The following is a 22,766-nucleotide window of genomic DNA, read 5'->3' on the forward strand; positions in this document are numbered from 1 at the left end:
CAGGCCAAGGCTGCGTACAGGGTTGCAGCTCAGAGAAAGGACAGCGGCCGGACGGACCCTGCTCTTTCTGGCTGAGCCCCAGCTCCCAATGTGGCTCCTCCCGGCCCAACACTTTCCCTCAGGGTCAGAGCCAGGTGTCAGTGGGACCCAGCCATGGACATGGGAAGGGACTCAGGACCAGACGCTGGAGAAGGGGATACCCGCCAGCCCCGGTTCTGTCCAGGGCTGAGCTGAGGAGGAGGCTGAGCTCAGAGGTCACGGAGGCAGGGCCTGTGCCTGAGGCCCAGGGCTCGGGGAAGAAGGTGGTCAGAGGGAGGACAGAGGTGGCAGTGGGAAACAGCAGTCAAGGCCAGGCCAGGGTGGGTGCCAGGCTGGCTAGGCTGGGGGCAAGGGATGAGGGTGGGGGACCAGGGGAACCCACCCAATCCTCCCTGGGAGCTTTGCTTTTAAGGGATTCTGGAGGGACCAGAGGGGGCTAGGGAGAGTGGGAAGGGGGCAGAGGGAGAGGCAGGGCTGGGGGGAAAGGGGAGACAGCAGCAGCCCAGGAGGGAGCTCCTCGCCCCAGCGGTGGGGCAGGGGAGGGCAGAGCCGGGAGGCCTGACAGCTGGAAATGTGGGCTTTACCCAGAGGTGGTGGCCGGCCGCAGAGGGGCGCGGGCCCAGGAGCTCCTCAGTCATCAGTTTTAGCTTTTAAAGATGTTTTTATTCCAGGAGGGAGGTTTCCAGGAAACAAGCAAACAGAAAACAAACACAAAGGTGCCCCCAGTGGAATGTTGCGTGGGATGGAGCCCTGCACAGAGGACGGTGAGGAGGGTGAGAGAAAGGGACGACCTGAAATTCCAGGAGAATCGAGGTGCTCTGTCGGAAAGGAGCACGATCAGAGTCCCCTGCCATGGAAAGTATTTCACCCTGGTGTAATTTCTTTCTTTCTTTTTTTTTTTAATTTGAGACAGGGTCTCATTCCTGTTGCTCAGGCTGGAGTGCAGTGGTGAGAACAGGGCTTACTACAGCCTCAACTTCCCAGGCTCAGGTGATTCTCCTGCCTCAGCCTCCCAAGTAGTGTAGCTGGGACTACAGGTGCACGCCACCATACCTGGCTAATTTTATTTTGTATTTTTGTAGAGATGGGGTCTCACCATGTTGCCTAGGCTGGTCTCAAACTCCTGGGCTCAAGCAATCCTCCGGCATCAGCCTCAGCCTCCAACAGTGCTGGGATGGCAGGCGTGAGCCACCACACCCGACCTTTTTATATATATTTACTTTTTGTAGAGACAGGGTCTCCCTATGTTGCCCAGGCTGGTCTCGAATTCCTGGCTTCAAGCCATCCTTCCACCTCAGCTTCCCTAAGTGCTGGGATTGCAGGCGTGAGCCACTGTGCCCAGCTGGTGGCGATAAGTGAGCACTGAATATTAACTTAGCCCCATGGTGGCCTTGGGAAGAGGCAGGGTGGGGAGGAAGTGCAGTCAGGGTAGGGGACAGTGTGAGGCTGGCACACCCCAGCTGCTCCCATGGCAATTACAGAAATAGAGGAGCTTGGCCCAGTGGCCTTGTGGGGTGGCCAGACCCTTAGGAGATGGGGACGGGCAGGACCAGGACCCCCAGGACAGCTGCTTTGGACTTTCTCAGTTGAAGTGCCCAGGATGTCAGAGTCGGCGTACAGTAGAGGATGGGCCGTGGCCCGGAGATAAGAGCAAGGCTGGAGGGTGGGGGCACAAGGTCCTGGGGAGAGCCAACCCTGGTGTTCCAACGCAGGTTCCCAGCACAGCTTCTGGGAAGGGCACTCGGCAGCACCCGTGGTCTGGCTTCTGCCCCACCCTCGGACCAAGTTGCTCTCACCAGGGTCCCCATGAGGTGGCCAGGGTCAGTACTGGGTCATCTGTGGTCATCTGGGCCAGTATTGGAGTGGGTAAAGACAGACTGCCAACCTGGGCGGGCAGAGCGATGCCCACTTAGGGCTACACAGAAGGGAGAGGACCCTCGAGGATGGGGCTGAGAAAGGACACCTTACTGCCCGCTGCCCACCAAGGGCCCACAGCACAGCCCAGGCATGCACAGACAGGCCGAGGAGGCAATCTTGTTCACGCTGGTAATTTTCTGCCTCTCCTGGGCCTCAGTTTCCCCACTCATACCAGGAGTGCCACTGCAGCCCCAAGGCCCATCCCAGAGAGAGGTGGTGGTCGAGGGAGGGCCGGGGAACCTGTCCCGTGGCTGCTACATCTGGGCACCCCATAGCCGGAGCTGGGTGGGATGCTGGCCTCATTCCTGGAAGAAATGGACTATATCGTATGTCACCTGCTACCTACAAAAGTAGGGTGCCAGCTGGGATCCCTGCAAATGTGTGTATGGGGAGTCCCCAGGAGTGCTGGGAGGAAGCTACACCATCCTGCCCGTGTCTGTAATTAGGGGTGAGGGTCACTGCGTTGCCAGGGCCAGGAGACAGTGACTGATTGGAAGCAGGGGCCATGCGTGGCCAATGGGAGTCTCCATGGGTGGCCAGGGCTAGGCATCCATGAGACTGGGAAGCAGATTGCTTCTGGATAGGATAGGAAGCAGATTGCTTCTGGATAAGATAGGAAGCAGATTGCTTCTGGATAGGAGCCCTACCTTCACCCCAGGTCAGGCAAAGGAACAAAGGAACCACCTTCTCTCTGACCCTCAACAGAACAGAGCCGTGGCAAATTCAGTGGCCCCCTTCCCATCGCCCAAAACCAGGAAGAAACCTTTAGACAAGGAACCTTGTCTAAAAGGAGGTGGCCCAGAAGTAGAATAAACACAGGGCTTGGAGTCGGACACAGGAGGGTTCGACAATACCCATTCAAAGTCATCATCGTAAGCCTCTCCTGGGCACCAGGCATGGGGAGAGGGAGTCTGGCTGGTTCCATGGCAATTGTGGGCAGGTCCCTTGCACCATTCAAGCCTGTTTTCATATCTGAAACGTGGGGCTGTGGGCGGGGGCCACAGCATAAGGGAGCATTGTTGTAAGGGGTGCCCTGTCATAGGGGAGCCTCTTCATATGGGGAACCCCAGCAGGTTCATATACGTGTGTCTTAGTCTGTTCTCTGCTGCTATAACAATACCACACACCAGATAATTTATAAAGAAAAGTTTCTTCGGCTCATGGTTCTGGAGGCTGCAAAGTCCAGCAGCATGGCGCCAGCATCTGGTGTGGCCCTGCTTGCTGTGTTCTTCCATGGCAGAAAGCGGGAGGGCAAGAGAGTGCACACAAGACAGCTCACTTTTATAACAAAGCCACTCCCACGATAACTCACACACTCCTGAGATAGCAACATTAATCCATCCATGAGAGCAGAGCCCTCATGACCTAGTCACCTCTCACAGGTCCCACCTCTCAACACTGCCACAAGGCAATTATTAAATTCCAAAATGAGTTTTGGTGGGGACATTTAAACCATAGCATTCCACCTAGGGCCCCCAAAACTCCCATTCTTCTCACATACAAAATGCTCTCATTCCATCCCAATAGCCCCAAAGTCCTAACACATTCCCACATCAACTCAAAAGTCCAAAGTCCAGTCTTTGGACGGGATTCTTCTGGGAAGGGAGTGTGTAGGCACAGGTGCTCAGCACTCCAACAGCACTGAAATAGCAGAGTCAGCACCTGCCCTCCCTGTCACCTCCCCCTCCCAACCCCACCACCTGGGGGTGGCTCTATGGGGAGGGGCTGTGAACACCCAGCCTGCATCCCCACAAAGAACCACCCTCAGCCACCTCTCCACTGAGAGATGGCCACCCCAAGACTCAGGTGCCCTTGTGGGAGGGACCTGGACTGGGAGCAGGGCCACTGGGGCAGGCCCTGGAGTGTGTCTGTCCTCTGGAGGAGAGCATGGGCCCTCTGGACCTCACAGACTTTATGGGGAAGGGCAAGATGGGAGCAGGGCTGGGGTGGGGAGCCCAGGACCAGGCTGCACTGAGCCCCAACATGCCCTCTAATGTCACCTGGCATGAGCCTCCTGATTCCCACCTCGACCCTGGGACCTCAGCCCCACGGGAACCAAGGCAGAAAGGGAAGGGTTCCTTGGCCCCTGGATGCCTGGCGTTTCTCTTTGTTGAACTTCCTCTTCCTCCTTATGAAGGGCCTTTCACCCCTTGTCCACCCTCTTCACCCCTTCCTCACCCAACAGCCACAGGAGTCACGCAGCTTTGACCTGTCTCACCTGCCCCCTCCTGTTGTTCCTCCCCCAGCTCCGCCCAGAGAGATGGAGACAGAGGGCCAAAGAGCAGGAGATCGCTGGACACTCGCCGAAGAGCGGGAGATCGCTGGACACTCGCCGTTGGCATCATGTGGGGTGCTCCATGGCTTCCAATTGGCCAAATTCTTTTCAGTGTTAAAATGCTGTAAAATATAAAACATATGTAATTTCTTGACAAAAATAATACTATTTCAGGTTTGATTCTTTATGAAGTTTCTGTACTAACCTGAACTCTCCCTGGAGTTGAAAGACCCTTGGCAACTAGAAAAGAGCCCTGACACCTGGGAGGCTGGGAACAGCCCACAGGACTGCGCCACCCTCACTTCCGACACCAACTATAGAAGCCCAGGCTCCTGGGGGCCACCTCAGATGTGATTCTCTAGGAGGGCCCCAGTGCCCCTGGAAGCCATTATACCCGTGACTGTGGATTCCTACGGGGAAAAGATGTAGATTAAAATCAGCCTGGCGGGAGGATCCCTTGAGCCCAAGAGTTCAAGACTAGCCTGGGAAACATGGCAAGACACCATCTCAGAAAGAAAAGAAAAGGGAAGGGGAGGGGAGGGAAGGGGAGGGGAGTGGAGGGGAGGGGAGGAGAGGGGAGGGGAAGGGAGGGAAGGGTGGGGAAGTGAAGGGAGGGGAGGGAAGGGTGGGGAAGTGAAGGGAAGGGAGGGGAAGAGAGGGGAGGGGAGTGGAGGGTGGCGGGGAGGGGAGTGGAGGGTGGCAGGGAGGGGAGTGGAGGGTGGGGAGGGAGGGGAGTGGAGGGCAGGGGGGAGGGGAGGGGAGGGGAGGGGAGGGAGAAGTTAGCCGGTTGTGGTGGTGCATGCCTGTGGTCCCAGCTACTTGCAAGGCTGATGTGGGTGGATGGCATGAACTGGGAGGTCGAGGCTGCAGTGAGCTGTGACTGTAGCCCTGTACTGCAGCCTGAGTGACAGAGAGAGACCCTGTCTCAAAAAATATAACAAATAAAACCAGAATGGAAAGAGGTGCCTGGGACAGAGCCCAGGAGGGTCCAGACACAGAGCTCCGGGTTGTCCTCCCCTGGGGTCATGGACAGAGCTAGGCCCCGTCCCTCCCTTAGTGATGTGGGTCAAGGCACATGGAACATCAACAACCAAGGTAGCTCCTGCCTTGGGGTTTGTCTCGTGGTCCTGGTTGGCGCCCACATGGCTGAGCCGTCTCCAGCCCTTCTGGAGGCAGAGCTGATGCCACATAGCCCAAAGCCTCCACTGAAGTCACATAGGACCATAGGTGTGGCCTGAGGCCGCAGGTGGACTAGGACATTCTCACCAGGTCGGACGTTCAGGGCCTAGTGGTGACCTCCCAGGAGCCCAGGGGAGAGGCCAGGCCATCTTTGGCCGAGGTCACACTCTGCACACACACCACCCTAAACAATTTCCAGTGTGGCTTCTGTCCACTGGTTGCCCATCTAGATCCTTCCTCCCTCCTTCCCAAACGCATTGCGGCTTCTGTTCACTGGCTGCCTACCTAGATCCTTCCTTCCTCCTTCCCATATGCGTCCAGGCTTTTGGCACTGGGCAGGGGCAGAGGCAACATGGGGCCGTGGTGTTCCTGGGCTCAGCTTTACAATCGTGGCATGCCCCTGGCCGTCTCTTGCCCCTTCTGGGTAGCAGCCTGGAGTGTCAAGAAATCCAGAAGGTCTGGAATGAACAGGTGCACCCAGCCGCCAGCTGCATGCTTCCCTGACAGGAGACTGCCCCCCACATTTGCAGGGCCTCTGTTATATCAACCTTGCTTTATAGTGACTCATACACTCTCCCAAGCCCATCACTTTCCCTGCAACCCCCAGTGGCACCACCAGCCCTCAACAGTGACCCTGCTGGGACTGAGAGACTTAAACTCGGTTGAGCCTTGAAGGCAACAGAGGGGCCCAGGTGTCTGCCCTCTCCCCCATACACCAGCTCCGTGAGACCGGCGGGATTTTATGGAAAGGCGCTTGCCCCTATGGGGATCTGACCCGGGCTCCCTGGCTCAGAGGCCTCCCACCAAACTGGGTCTGCGGGAAGAACCTCTAGGGGCTTCCTGGGTGTTCCTACCCCCAGACTCAATTCTTTTCCCCAAACTGAGGCAAGCAAGGACCGTCTCTGTGCCTCAGTTTCTCCACGCTACAGTGAAGGGGTGAGACTGAGTGGTCTGTGATAACTAGATGGGCAGGAGCAGTGAGGGGTGGAGAGGGGCCGATGGCAGGGAACACCCTGTTCTGGGACCTGTTCTTCAGGCTGAGAGACAGCTGCACAGGGTCTGGGCCCCTCTGCCCCCGACCACCCACCCCTCCAGCCTCCGGCCTCTTTCCTTGGGAACAGAGTGACACAGCTGCACCTCCAGTTAACTGAAGAGTTCTGATGGCCTGTTCCACAATTACAGGGAGTAACTTTTTACTAAAAGGGAAAAGCATCAACAGCTTCCAGCTTTTCATGTGAGAAGTAGTACTCCAAGACAAATGACTGCTTTCAGGCAGCACCGTGGTGCCCAGCTTCCTGTTCCTGCCAATTTCCTCTCCGGTTCTTCCAGCGGCTTTGTTATTTAAAAGAAATGCAAGGGAAGAGTGGGGCGGAGGCGGCCCTTTCACCGTGAAGAGCCCTGCTCAGCGCCCTGCGCCATGGGTGACGACATTTCCTGGCAGCAGGTGGCTCTCTCTGCTTAGTCTCCTCTTGTTTCCTGCTCTCCCAGGGCCCCTCGCTGCTGCAGGAGCAGTGAGCTCAGTGCCAGAACCCTGCAGGTGCAATGCACCCGGCCTCCCAGCAGGGCTCAGCTGACACCACCCACCAGCTGACCCCGCAGCTTGGCCCGGGATCCCCAGGAGCAGGGCAACCCCACCAGAGGGGTGGGAAACTTCCGGCAGCAAATGACCATGATGGTTGTGAGGGTCAACCTTGCCGGGGTACTGCTCTCAGTCACTCAATCAAATCTTAACAGAGGTGTTGTGCCGAAGGTCTGTCGTAGGTGCTTTCAGGAAGAGCATCCTTGGGAACCTGGGTGGCCTGGTTGAGTCCCTTGAAAGGCCATAAAAGCAGAGCTAAGGCTTCCCAGATGCAGACGAAATAACACCCTCACGTGCCTGTTTCAGCCCCTTCCCCAAGGTTCTGGCCTGCCCTGTAGATTTTGGACTGGCTCAGCAGCCCGTACGTTGAGTAAAACAATTCCTTGCAATGAATTTCCTGTCTCCTGTCAGTCCTGTTTCTCATTGAACACTGATGGGTAGGGGCTGATCCCTAACCCAGGCCATCTCTTTTTTCCCCTCAGAATCCAGTGCCCCCCCAAAGGCAGAGGAGGCTGACGTCCCGCAGCCCCTCAGAATCCAGTGTCCCCACAAAGGCAGGGGAGGCTGACCTCTCACAGCCCCTCGAAATCCAGAGTCCCCCCAAAGTCAGGGGAGGCTGACCTCCCGCAGCCCCTCGGAATCCAGTGTCCCCACAAAGTCAGGGGAGGCTGACGTCCCGCAGCCCCTCGGAATCCAGTGTCCCCACAAAGGCAGGGGAGGCTGACGTCCCGCAGCCCCTCGGAATCCAGTGTCCCCACAAAGGCAGGGGAGGCTGACGTCCCGCAGCCCCTCGGAATCCAGTGTCCCCACAAAGGCAGGGGAGGCTGACCTCCCGCAGCCCCTCGGAATCCAGTGTCCTCACAAAGGTGGGGGAGGCTGATGTCCCACAACCCCTAGGAATCGTGTCTCCACAAAGGCAGGGGAGCCTGACCTCCCACAGCCCCTCGGAATCCAGTGCCCCCATAAAGGCAGGGGAGGCTGACCTCCCACAGCCTCTTGGAATCCAGTGTCCCCAAAAAGGCAGTGGAGGCTGACCTCCCGCAGCCCCTCGGAATCCAGTGTCCCCACAAAGGCGGGGGAGGCTGATGTCCCGCAGGGCATCAAGTTACCCTTGTTTCCAAGTTCTTCAGCACAGATGCTCTGAGGATAGATGCCCTGCTTTGCAGATGAGGAAACTGAGGCTCAGAGAGACCAAGTTCATGATCTGGCAACCAGGAATGGCCAGGGTCCCCTCCCAGCTGGGGTCTGCACTGACTAGGTCCACAGGGCTCCGGAGCCTGAGATGGCTGTGTGGGCCAAGCCCTAGTTGTAATCCCCCCATGCACCCAGCTGTACACCCCACGTGCCAGTAGGACTTACAGAGGGGCAGGCATGAGCTCAGCATGAACAGGGCTGCCCCAGTCAGCAGTCACCCTCACTGATGGCCACCTCGGGCCTGGAGGCAGGGCTGAGCTAGGCCTAGTGGGCTGCAGTGGGGCTGTAGTGGGGCTGCAGTGTGGATCCCTGAGGGTGCTTCCCCCTGAGGATCCAGGACCCTGATGGAGGCTGCCCTGTTGGTGCTCCCCCGAGCCCCCGGAGACCTCTCACTACACCCATGGGGTCTCCAGGGTGACCCTCTGGGCCGGGGGACCTGTGTCTGCAGCTCCACCCCTGCCCAGCCCAAGCACACAGAAGAAACAACATGAACACTCCAGGAAGTTTCAGTGTTTTATTAACAAAATCTTACAAAAAGAGTCTGTCTCTGGGGTAAGGTGCACAGGGCCTGGACCGACATTTAAGGCCTGGTCTGTGTGGGGCAAGGGGCAGGGGTTGGCCACAGCCTCATGAGGTTTCCAGGGTCTTCACAGGCTCCAGGGCTTCCCCAAAGCCTGTGCCAGCCTTGAGGATTGGTTATGGCTTATGTGCAAAAATAAAATCTGTGGGGCTGGCAGGGTGTGGGCTGAAGACTTGTCAGAGTGGTCTGCAGGGCTGGTCCCCCAGTGGACAAGGCAGAACGATGAACCCTGAGCCAGCACCTGCTTAGGCTGCAGACGCTAGTGGCCCACCAGCACCAGGGTTCTGGTGTCGGGGCAGGGCAGAATGCCTGGAAGCGCCCCAGGAGCCATGGCTTCTGGGATGTCCTTCCTGCAGCTGAGCTCAGGGCTGCTGGGCAGGGGTAGGAGCTGTGGCCCCAGCCTTGGGGCTCATGAAAGCCTCTGGCAGAGAGGATGGCCTGGCAGCGGGCGGGGTTTCCCTGCTGGGAGGGAGGCAGGGCCCGACTCCTGCTGCAGTGGCTCTGGGGACGGGCAGCTGGCGGCCAGCGGGGCGGGCTTAGTGGCAGGCCCTGGTCCTCGCGCTGGCGCTCAGGGCTAAGCTGGGGCTCCTGCCCTCTGCTGCAGCCGACTCCTCTCTGTAGCCCCCCTCTGGGCTGTCCTGGGACTTCGCCTCCCACGCAGGCAGCCTGCAAGGTGAGGGGTGGGTGGTGCCCAGCACAGCAGCAAAGACTTTGTGGGAACCTTGAGACCTGAAAGAACAGGAGAGTGGGCAGTGAAGGACCACGCAGGACAGTAGCCAGGGCTCCATGGGGAGGGGCTGGGGCCGGTGGATGGCGCTGGTCTTCCAAGGCAGAGGCCCCCCGACCCCGTCAGAGCCTCCCAGCGAGCCCGAACACTGGGGAGTGGCCTGGGCCGCAGGGTGTCTGGGGTCTGGGGAGGAGCTCATTTGGCCGGGACAGCTGATGGTGGGGTCTGGGTGGAAGGGTGGTGCTCCGTTACCTGTTGTCACTCTCCTGGCTCTGATGGTGCCAGCTGCTGCCTCAGCCGGATTTGAGGACTCAGCCCCTCTGGGACCCTCCGCCTGCCATGGGTGAGTCATGAGCTGAGCTCTGATTCTTCTCCAGGCGGGCGTGAATCACTGGAGCTGGGGGAGAGAAAGCGCGGGTCCATGTGAGAGCTGGCTCAGCAAACTGCCCCTGCCTCCCACCCGGCCCACTCTCCCCAATGCCCCCTTCCATGATGCCAGCCCCACCCCATCCCTTTGGCTAACTTGCTGGGGGCCCAAGCCTCAGTGGGCTCTCCTAGAAAACAGCCTCCGGATCCCGCCAGCTCTCAGATGCCCCACAGCCGGTACTGCCTTGGGGCAGGGGCTCACCTGAGGGGCCAGGAAGCACCGGGACATCAGGTCTGCTCTGCTGCGTGTGCGACTTCTACTCTCCCCTGGGAGGAGGGGGCCGCGCTGCCCGAGGCTGGCCAGCTGCCCTGGGAGGCAGGGAGGGCGTCAGCTGGCTCTGCGGATGCCGGGAGAGGGCGGCGGCGCCGGAAGTCGAGGCTCCCTCAGCATTGGCTCTGCCCTAGCTTCTGCTCTGGGTGTCCCATGAGCTTGGTGGCCGCTGGCCCCTGCCATCCGGACACTTGGTTTTCTGGATGTCCAGAGGGCCTGGGTGTTGTAGCAGAATGAGGAAGCTGGGGTGTTCTGTGATGGCCTGAGAGTGTGGAGGGTGGGGTCCAGGCCGGAAAGACAGACGGAGGGAGGGTGATGGGTGGAGCCCTGCAGGGGGGAGGGCTCTTTGCCGCTGGGTGCGGTGCTCACATCTGGATGACACGAGTGTGTGCGAGTCCGCCCGGAGCTCGAGGGGGCACCCAGCTGGACCAGGGCTTCCCCTGCAGGAGTCAGCCCCAGCTCAAAAGTCCTGGTGGGCAAAGCCACAGGCTGGATGTAGTGGGCAGGCTGGGGGCTCCGGGATGCCCTCTACTCGGGCTGGGTCCGGTCACTGGCCACGGACTCGCTGTTGGGGGCGGGCGTGAGGGTCTCCGCCTCATCCTCCACCGGGAGGTGGGGGCCGGCCGGCTCGGCCGCCTGCTCCAGGTCATCCTGCACCTCCATGCCCCTCTGGATGAGCTGCTCCAGGGTCTTGGGCAGGGGGTGGCGCAGGAAACGCTTGAGCTTGGGCTGCAGGGTGCCCACCACGTACTGGATGATCTCCTCCTCGTCCGCGTCCACGTAGAGCGTCTGGTACAGGTCCCGCTTGCGCCACAGGAACTGGTCCAGCGGCTCGCCCTGCTTCTGCGGCAGGTCCAGCTCGCGCTGGATGGCCTCTCGGGACAGCGTGCCCTCGCTGTACTGCAGGAACTCCTTCTTGAACTCCACCCAGTTCTTCACGGAGCCCTGCTTGAACTCCCACCACTTCTTGGCCGGCCCGTTCATGTGATTCTGGATCTGGGACAGCCAGTACTCCTCAGAGCCGCCCACCTGCCGCAAGTACTCCTCTAGGTGGCTCAGGAACTCTCGAGGGTCCTCGAAGATCTGCGTGTCCACGCCGGGGCTGGGCTGCCCGTCCTCGCCGGGGACCCACGGCTGGTACTGCTGGGCCTCGGCGGGCTCCTGCCCGGGCAGCTCGCCAGCGGCTGGGGGCGGGGTGATGGCGTAGGGGCTGACGGTGTAGTCGTAGCCGTCTGCCTCGTGGCAGTAGCTCTCGGGACCCCCCACGCCCACGGAAACGGTGTGGCGGGCTGACTCGCTGCCCACCGGGTACTTGCCGCCCGTGGACTCCAGGCGGTCGGCCCAGCGCTCCAGGCGGTAGAACACCTCGCGCCACACGTGCATCTCGCGCTTGACCCAGCGCTCCAGGTTGGCGATGGTCTCCTGGCAGCGGCACAGGCAGGCCTTGATGGACTTCTTCCAGCGCTGCGAGTCGCTCGTGGGCACGTAGCCGTCCAGGTTGCTCTCCAGCTTCCCGACCGACCGGTGCAGCCCCTTCAGCTCGCGCTCCACCTGCTTGGACACCTCGGCCAGCAGGTGCCGGTGCGTCCGCCGCACGTGCTCCAGCATCTCGGCCCGGCACTTCCCGATCTGCAGGATCACGTTGGGCTTGGCCACCTGCCCGCCCCGCGGCCCGGGGTAGGCGTGGAGCCCGCCGCTGGTCCGGTGGTCCAGCTCCATCTGTGCGCAGGTGCTCCGGCAGGCGGCAAACTCCTCGGGGCGGACAGAGGGTGGTCCGGCGCTGGGGTCCGGCGGCCTGGGTCCCGTGCGGAGCTGCGGGGAGCGCCTGTCTGTCGCTGCGGGCCGGCGGCGGGGCCGGCGGAGCACGCCCGGGGAGGCAGGTCCGGCTCGGCTGCTGCGGAGGGAGGACGCCGCGCCCGAGCTCTGCGCTGAGTCCTGGCCGCCGGCTCTTTATGCAGCCAGCGAGGCCCGTGGGCGGCCGGCTCGCCGAGCCCGGTTTCTCATTGGCCCAGCCGCAGGCTCCCCGCCAGCGCCCCGCCCGCGCCCCTGCAGGCCCCGCCCTGCGCCCACTCGGCTCCCGGGCGGCAAGGGACGGGAGGTCCCACCCCCTGCACACATGGCGGGGCCAGGATGACTAATCCCTCCGCTCCGTACCTCCCACCCCGGACGGCGGGGCTCATTCAGCCTGCGGGGACCGAGGGACTGAGCCGGGCACTGGGCGCCCCTCCCACGCCCCCTCCCGGGCGCTGGGCGGGCTGTCATCTGCTGCCTCCCAGGGTCCCAAGGTGGCCTTCCTCCTCTCCACTCGCCTCTCTCTTTGCGGGGCTGGAGGGGGCTGGCGCTGGCCACTGCTCTCCTGGGTCCTCACTGCCCCTGACCCCGCCCACCCAGCTCTGCAGGATGTGCAGCTGAGCCCGGGAAGGACCCTCACCATCAGCCTCTGTGCCCAGGGGCTCAGCAAGTCTCCATGTGAGCTCCCAGATGTGGCTTTGAGCTCCCACTCACTCCTGCCCGGGTCCTGAGTCCAGGTCTTGGGCTCTGTGTGAGGGACGCACAGCCAGGCAGAGGCTCGCTCTGCCTGGCCCTGGCGTTGGTGTGCATGGGTGACAGGGGCCCACGTGGCAGTGACTGGACAGGGCTGCCCCATGCCCCCATACGCAGGTCTCTGGTGAGGCCCAATACTTTTCTGTGTTTCCAGGGAAATCTGGCAGCTGCTACCTGGGGGGCTGGGGTTTGGAGGACATGGAGGGGACATTTAGCCCCCAGTGAAGGGAATTGGGCCCTGAAGACCCTGGCTATATCAAGAACCTGGCCAGAGGCTCCAAGACTTCTAAGGGGATGGAAGAGGGGAGGAGAGAGGGAGACAGGGAGGGAGGTGGAAGGAGGGAAAGGAGAAGGGGAGGGAGGAGAGGCGAGGAGGGAGAGGGAGGGGGGCCGGTGCTGGCAGCACAGTGCCATCAGGAGAGGCAGAGGGAAGCCAAGCACCATATAAGGAGCGGGGCTCCGGAAGCCGAGACTCCCTCGGGAGGGAGGTCCCTTCTGCCTCCCTGGCAACCTGGCGGGGGTAGGGACGCCCTTCCTGAGTTACTCCAGTGCTGGCTGGATAGGCATGGGTCTCAGGTCCTCTGATGTTACCCAGGCAGGGGTGACACACACCATTCCCCACAGCCAGAGGGCCATGAGGACATCATCGCTGACAATCAAGACATCTTGTTCCTGCTGCCAGCTGCCCTTTCCCTCTCTCAGACACACACATGCTGCACACTCACACCCCCACATACACACTCATAGCCCCCACTCTAACCCCACCCCACACACTCATGCCCTCACTCACAGCCCCCACACACACTCATACCCCCCACTCATAGCTCCCACATACACACTCATACCCCCCACTCATAGCTCCCACATACACACTCATACCCCCCACTCACAGCCCTCAGCTCCCCCCAGCATCCCCTGTCTTATTCAGGCACTCAAGGGCACACAGGTGCCCACTTGCTGGAATCCCCCCTCCCTGCCAACCCTCTGAGCCCCCCCCCAACCGGCTCTCCCGGGGAGCCCTCTCCCAGCCTCAGAGCCAGTCTGTCTCCTCCTTCCTTCCGCCCCTGGGGGGGAATGTCTTTCTGGCAAAAAAACTCCCCAAAAATGGCTCTCCTGGCATTTCTAATTAAAGGTAAGTGGGCGGACAGAGAAGGGAGGGCGGAGGGGCACCGCGGAGCTGGGAGGGGGAGCCAGGCAGAGAAGTCTCCAGCACAGGGACCTTCCCGCTTCTCCACTGCGGAATCCCAGGGAGAGGAGCTGGGTGGGCACATGCGGGACGGGCAGACGCCAGCAGCCTTGGGTGAGTGCAGCCAGCGGTCACCGAGGGCCACATGTCCGGGTTGGGGCCAGCCTGAGCCTGTAGGTGTTGTCTGGGTGCTGGGCACTGACCGTGCATGTGTGTCCATTGTGAGAGCCAGCACTTCAATGACCAGGGGCCAGCCCCGCCAGGGTTTACAAGCCCGTGTGGCCTCTGACGTCCCCGCCAGGGCACAGCTCTTAGGCCTCTGGCCAGCAGTGGCCTCCAGCTGCCACCCCCACCCAAGGCATCAGCAAGCTGACAAGGAGGCAGGACTGGGGACACGTGAGCCAAGGTCATAGGTGGTGCCGCTGCCTCAGTTCCCTCACCTGTGTGGAGGGAGCCAGGCCTGGAGAAGGGTGAGTGCCCAAGGTGGCCCGGTGAGCAAGGCAGGGCTGGGCAGGAGCCAGGCCCTTGGTGAGGAATCCTGGCGTCCTCTGCTCAATGCCCCGTGGCCCATCACCACCCCTGTCACCTGCTAAACAGCAAGCCAGAAGTGGCCAAGCCGAGACCGGTGGGAGAGCACAGTGCCTGCCCTGGATGGCACGAGGGCAGGCAGCGTCGGGGGTGCCACGCGGAGCCCCGTCTTCCCCTCCCCAACCCCCTCCAGCAGGGTCTGCAGAGGCTGTGAATGCAGGCCTGAGCTGACCGGTGACAGGCAACAGCCGCAGCTGCCAGGAACGCTTAATCGCTGCCCAATTATCGCCCCAGAAGCCCTCACCAAACCCCCGCACTGCAGCCTCGGGAAAGGAGGCCAGGCTGACTCCCATCCACCTGGGGCGGGGGCCTCTCCTGACAGGGGCCTGCCCTGCTCCTCTCTCCAGCCCACCCCCACCCCGTGCCCGTCCCTGACAGCCACTGGAGCAGCATGGCTTGGGGATGCAGGTGGGGGAAGGAACAGGGGAAGGGGGTGGGGGCTAGACCTGCACAAGGAGATTGGGAGCACCTGGGGGATCCCCACTCTCAAAGCCAACCTGGTCTGCTGCTGCGCAGGTCTGACCACTCTGAGGCCCCACCTGCCTGAGAGGAGGGGTCCTGCAGGGGAGGGTGGGGTAGCCCATGACCCCCAGGTTCTGTTCACGGTTGAGATCTCCACCAGGCTCACGACAGCCTCGAAGGACCTCTTAGTGCTGGTTCCTGAGCCCCCACCACCTAGGTTCCCAGAGGCGTGCGGGTACCTGCTCTGAAAGGCAGGGGCCACCCTGTGCCTTGGGCCTCCCTTCTCCTTCTGGGGTGCCCAGCCGCCTCTGCTCCTGCCTGATCAGAGCAAAGGGAGTCAGCTCTCTCCCCGCAGCCCCAGACTGTCTCAGCCCTGGCTGACCCACTCCGGCAGGGCCTTTCTGGGTTGCCAGGAGCGTTCACAGGGCAGCTGCTGACCTGGGGCATCCTGCTGCTCCCCCAGGCTGGCCCTGCTGATCTCGGGTGCCGGCAGTTAGCGCTGCTCAGCAGGGAGAGGCAACCACAGGCCCCTTCAGGCCAGAGCTCACACCCACCCCCACTCACACACATGCGCAAACACATGGGCACACGCAGAGGCACACACCTCCCCCATCTCCCCTGCCTCCAGGCTCTGTCCTCTTTGGAAACAACCCAGAGGGCCCCCAACTCTGCCTTGGCCCCCCACATCACTGTCTTCATAAAGGCCCTTCCTCACCTGCCCACTGCTGGCCACACACACCTGCCCACCCCACCCTTTGCACACATTCCGGGGCTCCTGCTGCCCTTCTGTGTGGGCTGCGTGGAGTGAGGAGCCGGCAGCAGAGAAGGAATGAGGCAGTCCCAGGGGTTGGTTCGGGCACCCGCCCCCCACATGTGACCACTCCCCAGCCTTGTGGCCTCATCTGTCACCATCTACTGCCCGGTGGGGCTGGAAGAGAAGAACCAGGCTGCCCTATGCCCTCAGGGTGCCCATTGCTTGCCCAGGCTGCATGGCCAGACCTGGAGGCCAGCCTCTCAGCCACCTGCTCCCACCGGGTGTCCCTTGCTGTCCAGCCCAGGGCTCCACAGGCTGCAGGAGCTGCTGACCTCTGACCTCGCTGGGCTCCCAGGCTGGACTCCCACCCCAGGTATCCTCTTTTCCTGTTGCCTCTTCCTCGCAGGCACAGGGCAAGGCTGTCCCAGCTGCCTGGCCTGGCTGAGTCCCTGCACCACCCTACAGGTGGTGCCCATAGGTGAACACCTGAGTGTAAGCAGGGCCTGGTCCAGAGCAGACACTGGCGAGGGGTCTGAGGGCTGGAATGGTTCCTGTTCCATTCCTTTCTAGTCAGGAAACATTGGACAGTTGCTCACCTGAGCCTCAGCTTTCCATCCGTAAAGTGGGTGGCAATGCCAAGGCCTCGAGGGGTGGCCGGGAGCTCCGGGGCTCCAGGAGCCTCATCCCTGGCCTCGTGCCACCTGGTCTGGCGAGGTTTCTCCCAGCCGTTCCTGCCGGAGCCTCTCGTCAGTGCCAGTCTGGAGCCTGAGAAGTGGCCGGGGCCCCGCCCTCAGCTCCTCAGGAGAGGTTCTGGGGGCTTCTTCGCCCTGCCCACCTCCTCTGTTCTCTGAGGCCTGGCCAGCGTCCGCCCCCAGTGTCGCTCCTGCAGTGGTGGCACAGACCTGGTGGCGAGTTGCAGGGGCAGTTGGCGGATATGGGTCCAGGCAGCTGGAGGACACCAGGGCCCTGCTGTCTCCGTCCTGAGGGCCACCTGCAGTGGGGACGGGCCAGGGTAGGCAGAGAGCAGAGCTGAGGATGAGGGTCCCAGTCCACCTCCAGAGCATGGGGGGGTGCACAGCAGGCCAGGACTGAGCCTGGGGAAAAGACCAAGGAGGCACAAAGGACTGAGGTGGGAAAGTAGAGGGGCAGAGGAGAGGCCGGGGCGCAGCTGCTCCTGCTTGGCCACCCAGGTAGATGCTCTCGCCTCAGGTTCCACAGGGGTCCTTAGGGGTGGGAGGACCTGCCCCAGGCTGCTGAGCGGGCAAGTGACAGAGTTGAGGCCGTCGTCCATCAACCCAGCTGCCCGACCTCCAGCCTCATAGCTGCTGCAGCCCGACAGCCTCTGTGAGAGCCCTGGAGGGGACCAGGGTGGAATGGGGCAGGGTTCTTAGGAGACCCCCATCGGTGATGGGCACAGTGCTTGGTGTTCCCAAGGTGGCAACAAGGGCTGGGAAAGACCCTGAGGGATGAGAGGGGCCCCAAGGAGTGGGCTGGCTCTGGCACTGGTGCAGAAGATGGAAGCTGATGGCCTGGGGGCCAGTGGGAGATGGGTGCAGGGCGGGTGGGCCTAGGGGCCTCCGACACCCCCTCCCTCTGCAGCCTCTGCAGCCTCCCCAGCCCCTGGGGCTGCGGGAACATTCTTTCTGCCCCCCACCCCCACCATCCCCCCCCCCCCACAACTGCTCCTTCCTTCCTCTTCTCCTGTTGGCAGGCTCTGTGCTGCTGCGTCCCTGTCCCTGGAACAAGCAGCCTGTTCGTTCCGGGCCCCCACACACCAGACCCTCCTCCTTCCTCCTTCCTCCTTCCTGCCTCCTGCCTCAGCGCCTCCCAGTCCAGCCTCCAAGGAAAGTTCTGTATTTTTCCAGCCAGTCTGGCCTAGCTGCACAGGCGTCCCTTCAGGGCCGGTGGGGTCACGAGAGCCCAGGCCTCCACCGACCATGGGCAGACAAGGGACATGCGCTCCTCACCACCGCCACCCCAGCCATGCACGGAAGGGGAAATCGAGGTCCAGAGAGGGCCAGGGATTAGCCTGAGCCACACAGCAAGGAAGGCCAGAGCCACGGCAGGAAGTGTGTCTGGGGTCTCTGGGGTCTTGGGGAGACCTCCAACCTCCCAGAGGTGTCCCATGGACACTTCCATTTCCTGTGTGACTGTAGGTGAGTTCCCTAAGCCTCCACGCCCTCTCTGGCCTCAGTTTCCTCACTGAGGCAGTGCTCCCAGGAAGCTCCAGCTCCGCCCTGCCCCGTCGGTGCGGTGATCAGTCATTCCGTCAACAAAAGTGCCCGAGACAGGCTTGGCAGGTACTAAGCCAGATGGAGGCATGACCCTGGGAGGGGGTGGAGTGCAAAGAGGTGCAGAGCACCCCATAAAATAAGGGGTTGGGCATCACCATGCCCCCTGCAGGCTTTGCCACCCATCAGCACCAGCAAGTCGCCCCACCCAGAGCTCTGCAAAGAACACCGCCAGCTCTTTCCTTCCGGGTGCTCTTGCTGGGGGGTCAGGCTGGTCCCCTCTGACTGGCACTGCCCACGCTGGGACATGGGAGGAGGGCCATCTGGGCACTGCAGGAGCAGATCCTGGGTGCACATGGGGAGACAGGTGTGCTGGCAGGAACAGCAGGCGGGGCTGAGCTCAGGAGGCGCCTCACAGCGGGTGCCTCCAGCCTGGTCTGAGCACGGGATGAAGAACCAGGCACCGCTCATCGTGCATCTCCACAAGGCACTGTGTGACTTCATGCAAGCCGCTCAACCTCTCTGGCCCCACGTCCTTGTCCACAGGGGCAGAGTGGACTGAATGGAGGCTGAGGTCCCTCTCAGCTTGGGTGGTGTGGCAGAGGGTGAGGAGGAGCCCATGGGCCCTGGATCACCAGCCTCCCTCCACCCAGAATGCCCCGTCCACTCCACTGCCCACCACCCTCTGTGCAATTGACAAACGTCCTGGTGTTAACGCCTAAGCATAAAGAGTCGGCTTTGCTGTAAGTGTTGTCTGAACCTGGGCCCAACGTCACCGCCTCCAGGAAGCCTTCCTGACCTCCTCGTTCCATGTTGATTGAGTCTTCTGCGTGCCTTGGCCTCCCCTGTGTGTGCTACCAGAGGAGCCCCTGAGCACAAATGCAGTCTTCCTGCATGTCTCTGTGTGTGTGTGTGCATGTGTGTGAGTGTACGAGTGTGTGTGTGACTGTGTGTGTATGTGAGTGTGTGTGTGAGTGGGTGGGCCAGGGTACCCGTCTCTTGCACACCTACTGGGGTGTGCCCTGAGCTTGCCCTGGGCACACGGAACCTGGTTCTGGCTCCATTGGAGATGCTCTGACCCCCGAGGTGTGGAGGCCAGCAGTGGGCAGGTGAGGAAGGGCATCTGTGAAGAGGGTGGTGTGGGGGGCCAAGGAGGAGCAGGGGGGCATCTGGGTTCTTTCCAAAGAGGGCAGAGCCTGGAGGCAGGGGAGATAGGGGAGGGATAGGTCTGGGGCCTGCCTCACCTTGGCCAGGATGCCAGCCTGGAGCTGGTGGGGAGGATGGAAAAGGGAGGACAGTGGGGGCAGAGAGGGACAGGCAGATGGGGAGTGGCTTTGCTGGGTTTAAGAGCTGTTTAGGGGGCCAGGGCTGAGGGGGAGCTGGGGGTCCCCAGTGTCAGGTTGCCATCACGGACCTGGGGACGAGCATGAGGGGGACTTGTAAGGAGCCACTGGAGTCCGGCCTGGGGGGGCTGGAGCCTGGCGCTCCCCCACACTGGGTCCCCAGCCAGGCCGTGTGCCCACCCCACACCTCCCTGGACGCCCACCTGGCCCAGATTGTGCTGCAGGAACCCTGAGGGTGGCTGCCCCAAAATCAGGACGAAGGATTCACTGCCAGCTGGCCAGGCCAGACGCCCCCAGAGCTGGGGGTTCAGGATGCCCGTGCCAGGGAGGGGGTGGCGTCCAGGACTGTACGCTGCCCCCACCCTGATGGCTGCGCTTTCCTGCTGTTCTCTGCATCTCCATTTCAATCTCTCCCCAGTGCCAGCCAGGCTGCCAGCAACCCCAGCTCACTTCCGGAGCCATAAAAGGAGAGACGCTGAGAATAGCGCGGCTGTGACGCGCCCAGGAGCTCCTCACGCATGCAGACTCTGCACCACCCGCCCGCCCGCCTGCTCTCTGAGGTGCTGGCCTGAAGGGCCCCCCGCCCAGCCCCAGCCCTACCAGGATTGGACAACCTGGGACCCCGGCTGGGAGGTCAGGAGCCAGGGGTCATGCAGCCCTGCCTTGGCTCCCGTATGACACCGCAGGCTGCTGTGCTCCTGGGATTTGGCATCACCATCCCCTGCTCCCAGGCCCTGGGCCTCACGAGGGCACAGCACCACGGGAGGGGCAGGCAGCAGAGGGCGGCGGGAGGCACCCCTGTCCCAAGAGGTCCCGGCCCTGCCTAGTGGCCCTTTAGGCTCCCACAAATTCCCAGGGACCCTTCCTGAGGCAGAGGGAGTTGGCTCTGCACTGGACATGGCTCGGGGCTCACAGATGGGGACAGTCATTGCCTACTGAGCGCCAGCAGGTGCTGGGAGTTGGGTCAGCTTCTCTCCAAGGTCTTGCCTTCCCTAGGAGATGAGGGAGATGCTGAGACCCAGAGGGCAGAGCCTCCTCCTCGCCAGGTCCCAGCACCACATCCCCAGACACCATGGGTGCCCGCATCTGCCCTGAGCACCCCCAGCTCACTCATGAGGCTCAGCAGTGGGGAGTGTGATGGGACACAGGGCTGGCGGCTTGGGTGGTCACGCTGGTCCCTGAGCTCAGAGGAGCCGTGCCGGGTTTAGCACTGTGCGATTTTGATTCATTTTTGGACAAAGGGCCTCTGTTTTCATTTTGTGCTGGGCCCCAGCCATTATGCCACTGGTCCCTCCTACCAGGGTCTCCTTCCTGGTCCTAGGGTGGGGGTGGGGAGCCCACTGTGCTGTGTGTTTCTGGAAAAGCAGGTGGCAGCAGAGGTCCTGTGGTGAGACAAGGAGGGCCCTGCTGTGTGCCGGGCACCTTGCTGAGTCTCAGAACAGCCGGGAGGGTGATCAGTGTCACCCCACTTTACAGATGAGGAAACTGAGGCACAGAGAAGGCAAGGGGTATGCCGGGGAACCCGGGCCATAGTGAATGACCGAGCTGCGATTTGTACTCAGGCTCTCCTGGCCCTGAGGCCGCCAGTCCTCAGCCTGCTGCCATCTGCTGCTCCCAAGAGCCGGGCCGGTGTCCTCAGGAAACCCTCTGAGCTGACCGTGGGGCAGCCAGTTGGGGAGGCTCAACTGGTGAGAAGCCTGGGTGGTCTGCATGGGCAGGACCAGGGCCATGTGAGCCCATGTCCCTCTGTTGCATCTTGGTCCTAAGGTGCATCCGGTGGCAGATCTGGGGCTTGGGAGGGCATGGCAGGCTGAGGGGGCTGCAGAGCCCTGGGCAGGCCGGGGGAGCCCAGGGGTGGAGAGGCAGCTGGCAGAAGCGCATCCATCTCTCTGACACCGCCTGGTCACTGCACGCTGGCGCTGAGCCTCTGAGCAGCCTGGGTGGTGGGTGGGTCAGGGAAGGTCAGGGTGGGGTCAGCACCCGCCCTAGCCACTGGACTTCTCTCACTGTCCCTGGAAAGGGTACCAGGAGGGGCCTTCTCCTCTCCCTTTTTCCCTCTCCCAGGCCAGTGACCTCTGAGGCCCCAAAGGGTCAGGAATTGCTGAGATCACAGAGGAGGGGGTGCACCAAGCCTGCCCTCTGCTCCCCACTCCAGGGACTATGAAACTCAAATGTCACAGAGTCCTCTAAAAATGCATTTGTTCCTTCCTGGGCCAAGTCAGACTGGGGATCAGATCCCCAGTGGAGAGGCAGCACCTGAGGGTGGGGCCCGCCCAAGAGAAGAGCAGGGTGCCTCAGGGGCAGCAGAGGAAACTGGGCTGCGAGTTCAGGCTGGGTCAGGGCACCGAGCCGGGCAGGGGCTGCTCTGCTCACAGCTGGCAAGCCTGGATCCACGTGCAGGTGTCTGAAGGAAGGGCTCTGGGACCCCCAGGCCGTCCTCAGGCTCCCCGGCCTTTGGCAGCTTGGGCTGTTCTCCTGGGCCTGGTCCTGCCAGCCCTCCCTCCGTACTGGGTCCAGGGCTTAGCGGACGCCTTGAGGCCTGCACGCCACCTGCTGGCCGCGCCCCGCCTCGCGCGGTCTCCAGCCGTCCCTGTCTCCCTCTTTCAGTGGTCCCTGTCTCTCCATCTCTCTACCTCTCCCCCCGCCCTGTCTCTCCCTGCCCCTGCCTCGTCTTTGTCCTGCCTCTCTGTCCCGCTCTGTCCCCCTCTGTCGGTCTCTAACCCTTTCTGTCCCTCTGTGGCTCCAGCCCTCGGCCCTCCCTAAGGACAGTGGCCGTTCTCCTCACCCCAGAAAGAGGAGGAGTGGAGAGGGGAGGCCAGGCCCTTTCAGGGCATCCAGACGGAGGCTGGGCCCACAGACTGTGGATCCCAAGAGGAGAGGGGGAGCAGGTGAGGGCCAATATGGGGGCAGTTGTCTCACCGCCACAGACACCCTGTCCCCAGAGCTGGCGGTCAGGGAGAAGGCACAGGGCGGGAGGGGTGCATACCCCTCCAGCTTCACCCTTGGATCCGCACCCCACCCCACAAGCATGCCCCACTGAGCTCCAGAAATGTGGGCCTCTCCACACCCCTCAGCAGCCTCTGCAGGCCCCAGACCCACTCCTGGAGACTGAACCCCACCTGAATGTGCCCCTTTCCTTTCCAAAACCTCCAGGACTAAAGCCTCAGCCCTCCTCCTGCCCTCCCTGCCTGAGGGAGCTGAGAACAAGCACCTGAGTGGCTTGGCTTCCACCCAGGCCTCCCCTGCCCTGACAGCCCCGCCCCTCATCCCAGGGAGCTCCTCCTTCCTAGAGCCCTCAGTCTCTCCCCAGGGCCTGCCTGGCACCCACGGTCTCCCTCAGATCTGAGATGCCCCGTTCCAGGGTCTGCACAGGCCTGGGAGATCTGGGGATCCTCAGGGTGGAGGTCAGGCTCCCCCAGACACTGAGCTCGGCCCTGGGAAGTCAGGTTTTCCATATGCGGGACAGAGACC

The 22,766-nt window shown here is 62.1% G+C and overlaps 1 protein-coding gene across 2 annotated transcripts, besides 4 other annotated features; it reads right to left on the bottom strand.

Annotated features, from left to right (window-relative positions):
- Positions 6,023–6,750: an enhancer, noted in NCBI's record as "H3K27ac-H3K4me1 hESC enhancer chr8:143689749-143690476 (GRCh37/hg19 assembly coordinates)". NCBI's record gives its function as "activates a minimal SCP1, AML or CMV promoter by ChIP-STARR-seq in primed H9 embryonic stem cells {active_cell/tissue: H9 hESC(primed)}" and the evidence as "EXISTENCE:reporter gene assay evidence [ECO:0000049][PMID:30033119]".
- On the bottom strand, positions 8,684–12,114 carry ARC (activity regulated cytoskeleton associated protein). 2 transcript variants are annotated; one of them, NM_015193.5, is made up of 3 exons: positions 10,119–12,114; positions 9,743–9,887; positions 8,684–9,492 (listed from the first exon to the last, which is right to left on the bottom strand). In NM_015193.5, exon 1 carries the CDS (start codon positions 11,904–11,906, stop codon positions 10,716–10,718), a length of 1,191 nt encoding a protein of 396 aa, NP_056008.1. In that variant the 5' UTR covers positions 11,907–12,114; the 3' UTR covers positions 8,684–9,492; positions 9,743–9,887; positions 10,119–10,715. The 2 variants fall into 2 exon arrangements, with proteins under 2 accessions (NP_056008.1, NP_001399781.1); NM_001412852.1 differs by having other exon boundaries at positions 8,684–9,887.
- Positions 11,307–12,205: an enhancer, noted in NCBI's record as "H3K27ac-H3K4me1 hESC enhancer chr8:143695033-143695931 (GRCh37/hg19 assembly coordinates)". NCBI's record gives its function as "activates a minimal SCP1, AML or CMV promoter by ChIP-STARR-seq in naive and primed H9 embryonic stem cells {active_cell/tissue: H9 hESC(naive and primed)}" and the evidence as "EXISTENCE:reporter gene assay evidence [ECO:0000049][PMID:30033119]".
- Positions 12,221–12,430: a silencer, noted in NCBI's record as "silent region_19600". NCBI's record gives its function as "represses an Ori minimal core promoter by ATAC-STARR-seq in GM12878 lymphoblastoid cells {active_cell/tissue: GM12878}" and the evidence as "EXISTENCE:reporter gene assay evidence [ECO:0000049][PMID:35858748]".
- Positions 21,770–21,879: a silencer, noted in NCBI's record as "silent region_19601". NCBI's record gives its function as "represses an Ori minimal core promoter by ATAC-STARR-seq in GM12878 lymphoblastoid cells {active_cell/tissue: GM12878}" and the evidence as "EXISTENCE:reporter gene assay evidence [ECO:0000049][PMID:35858748]".

This window comes from Homo sapiens, chromosome 8, assembly GCF_000001405.40.
Source record: "Homo sapiens chromosome 8, GRCh38.p14 Primary Assembly".
In the NCBI taxonomy this organism is placed as follows: Eukaryota; Metazoa; Chordata; class Mammalia; order Primates; family Hominidae; genus Homo; species Homo sapiens.

Excerpts from the sequence above, each read along its gene's own strand:
- ARC (NM_015193.5), bottom strand. The coding sequence starts at position 11,906 with ATGGAGCTGGACCACCGGACCAGCGGCGGGCTCCACGCCTACCCCGGG.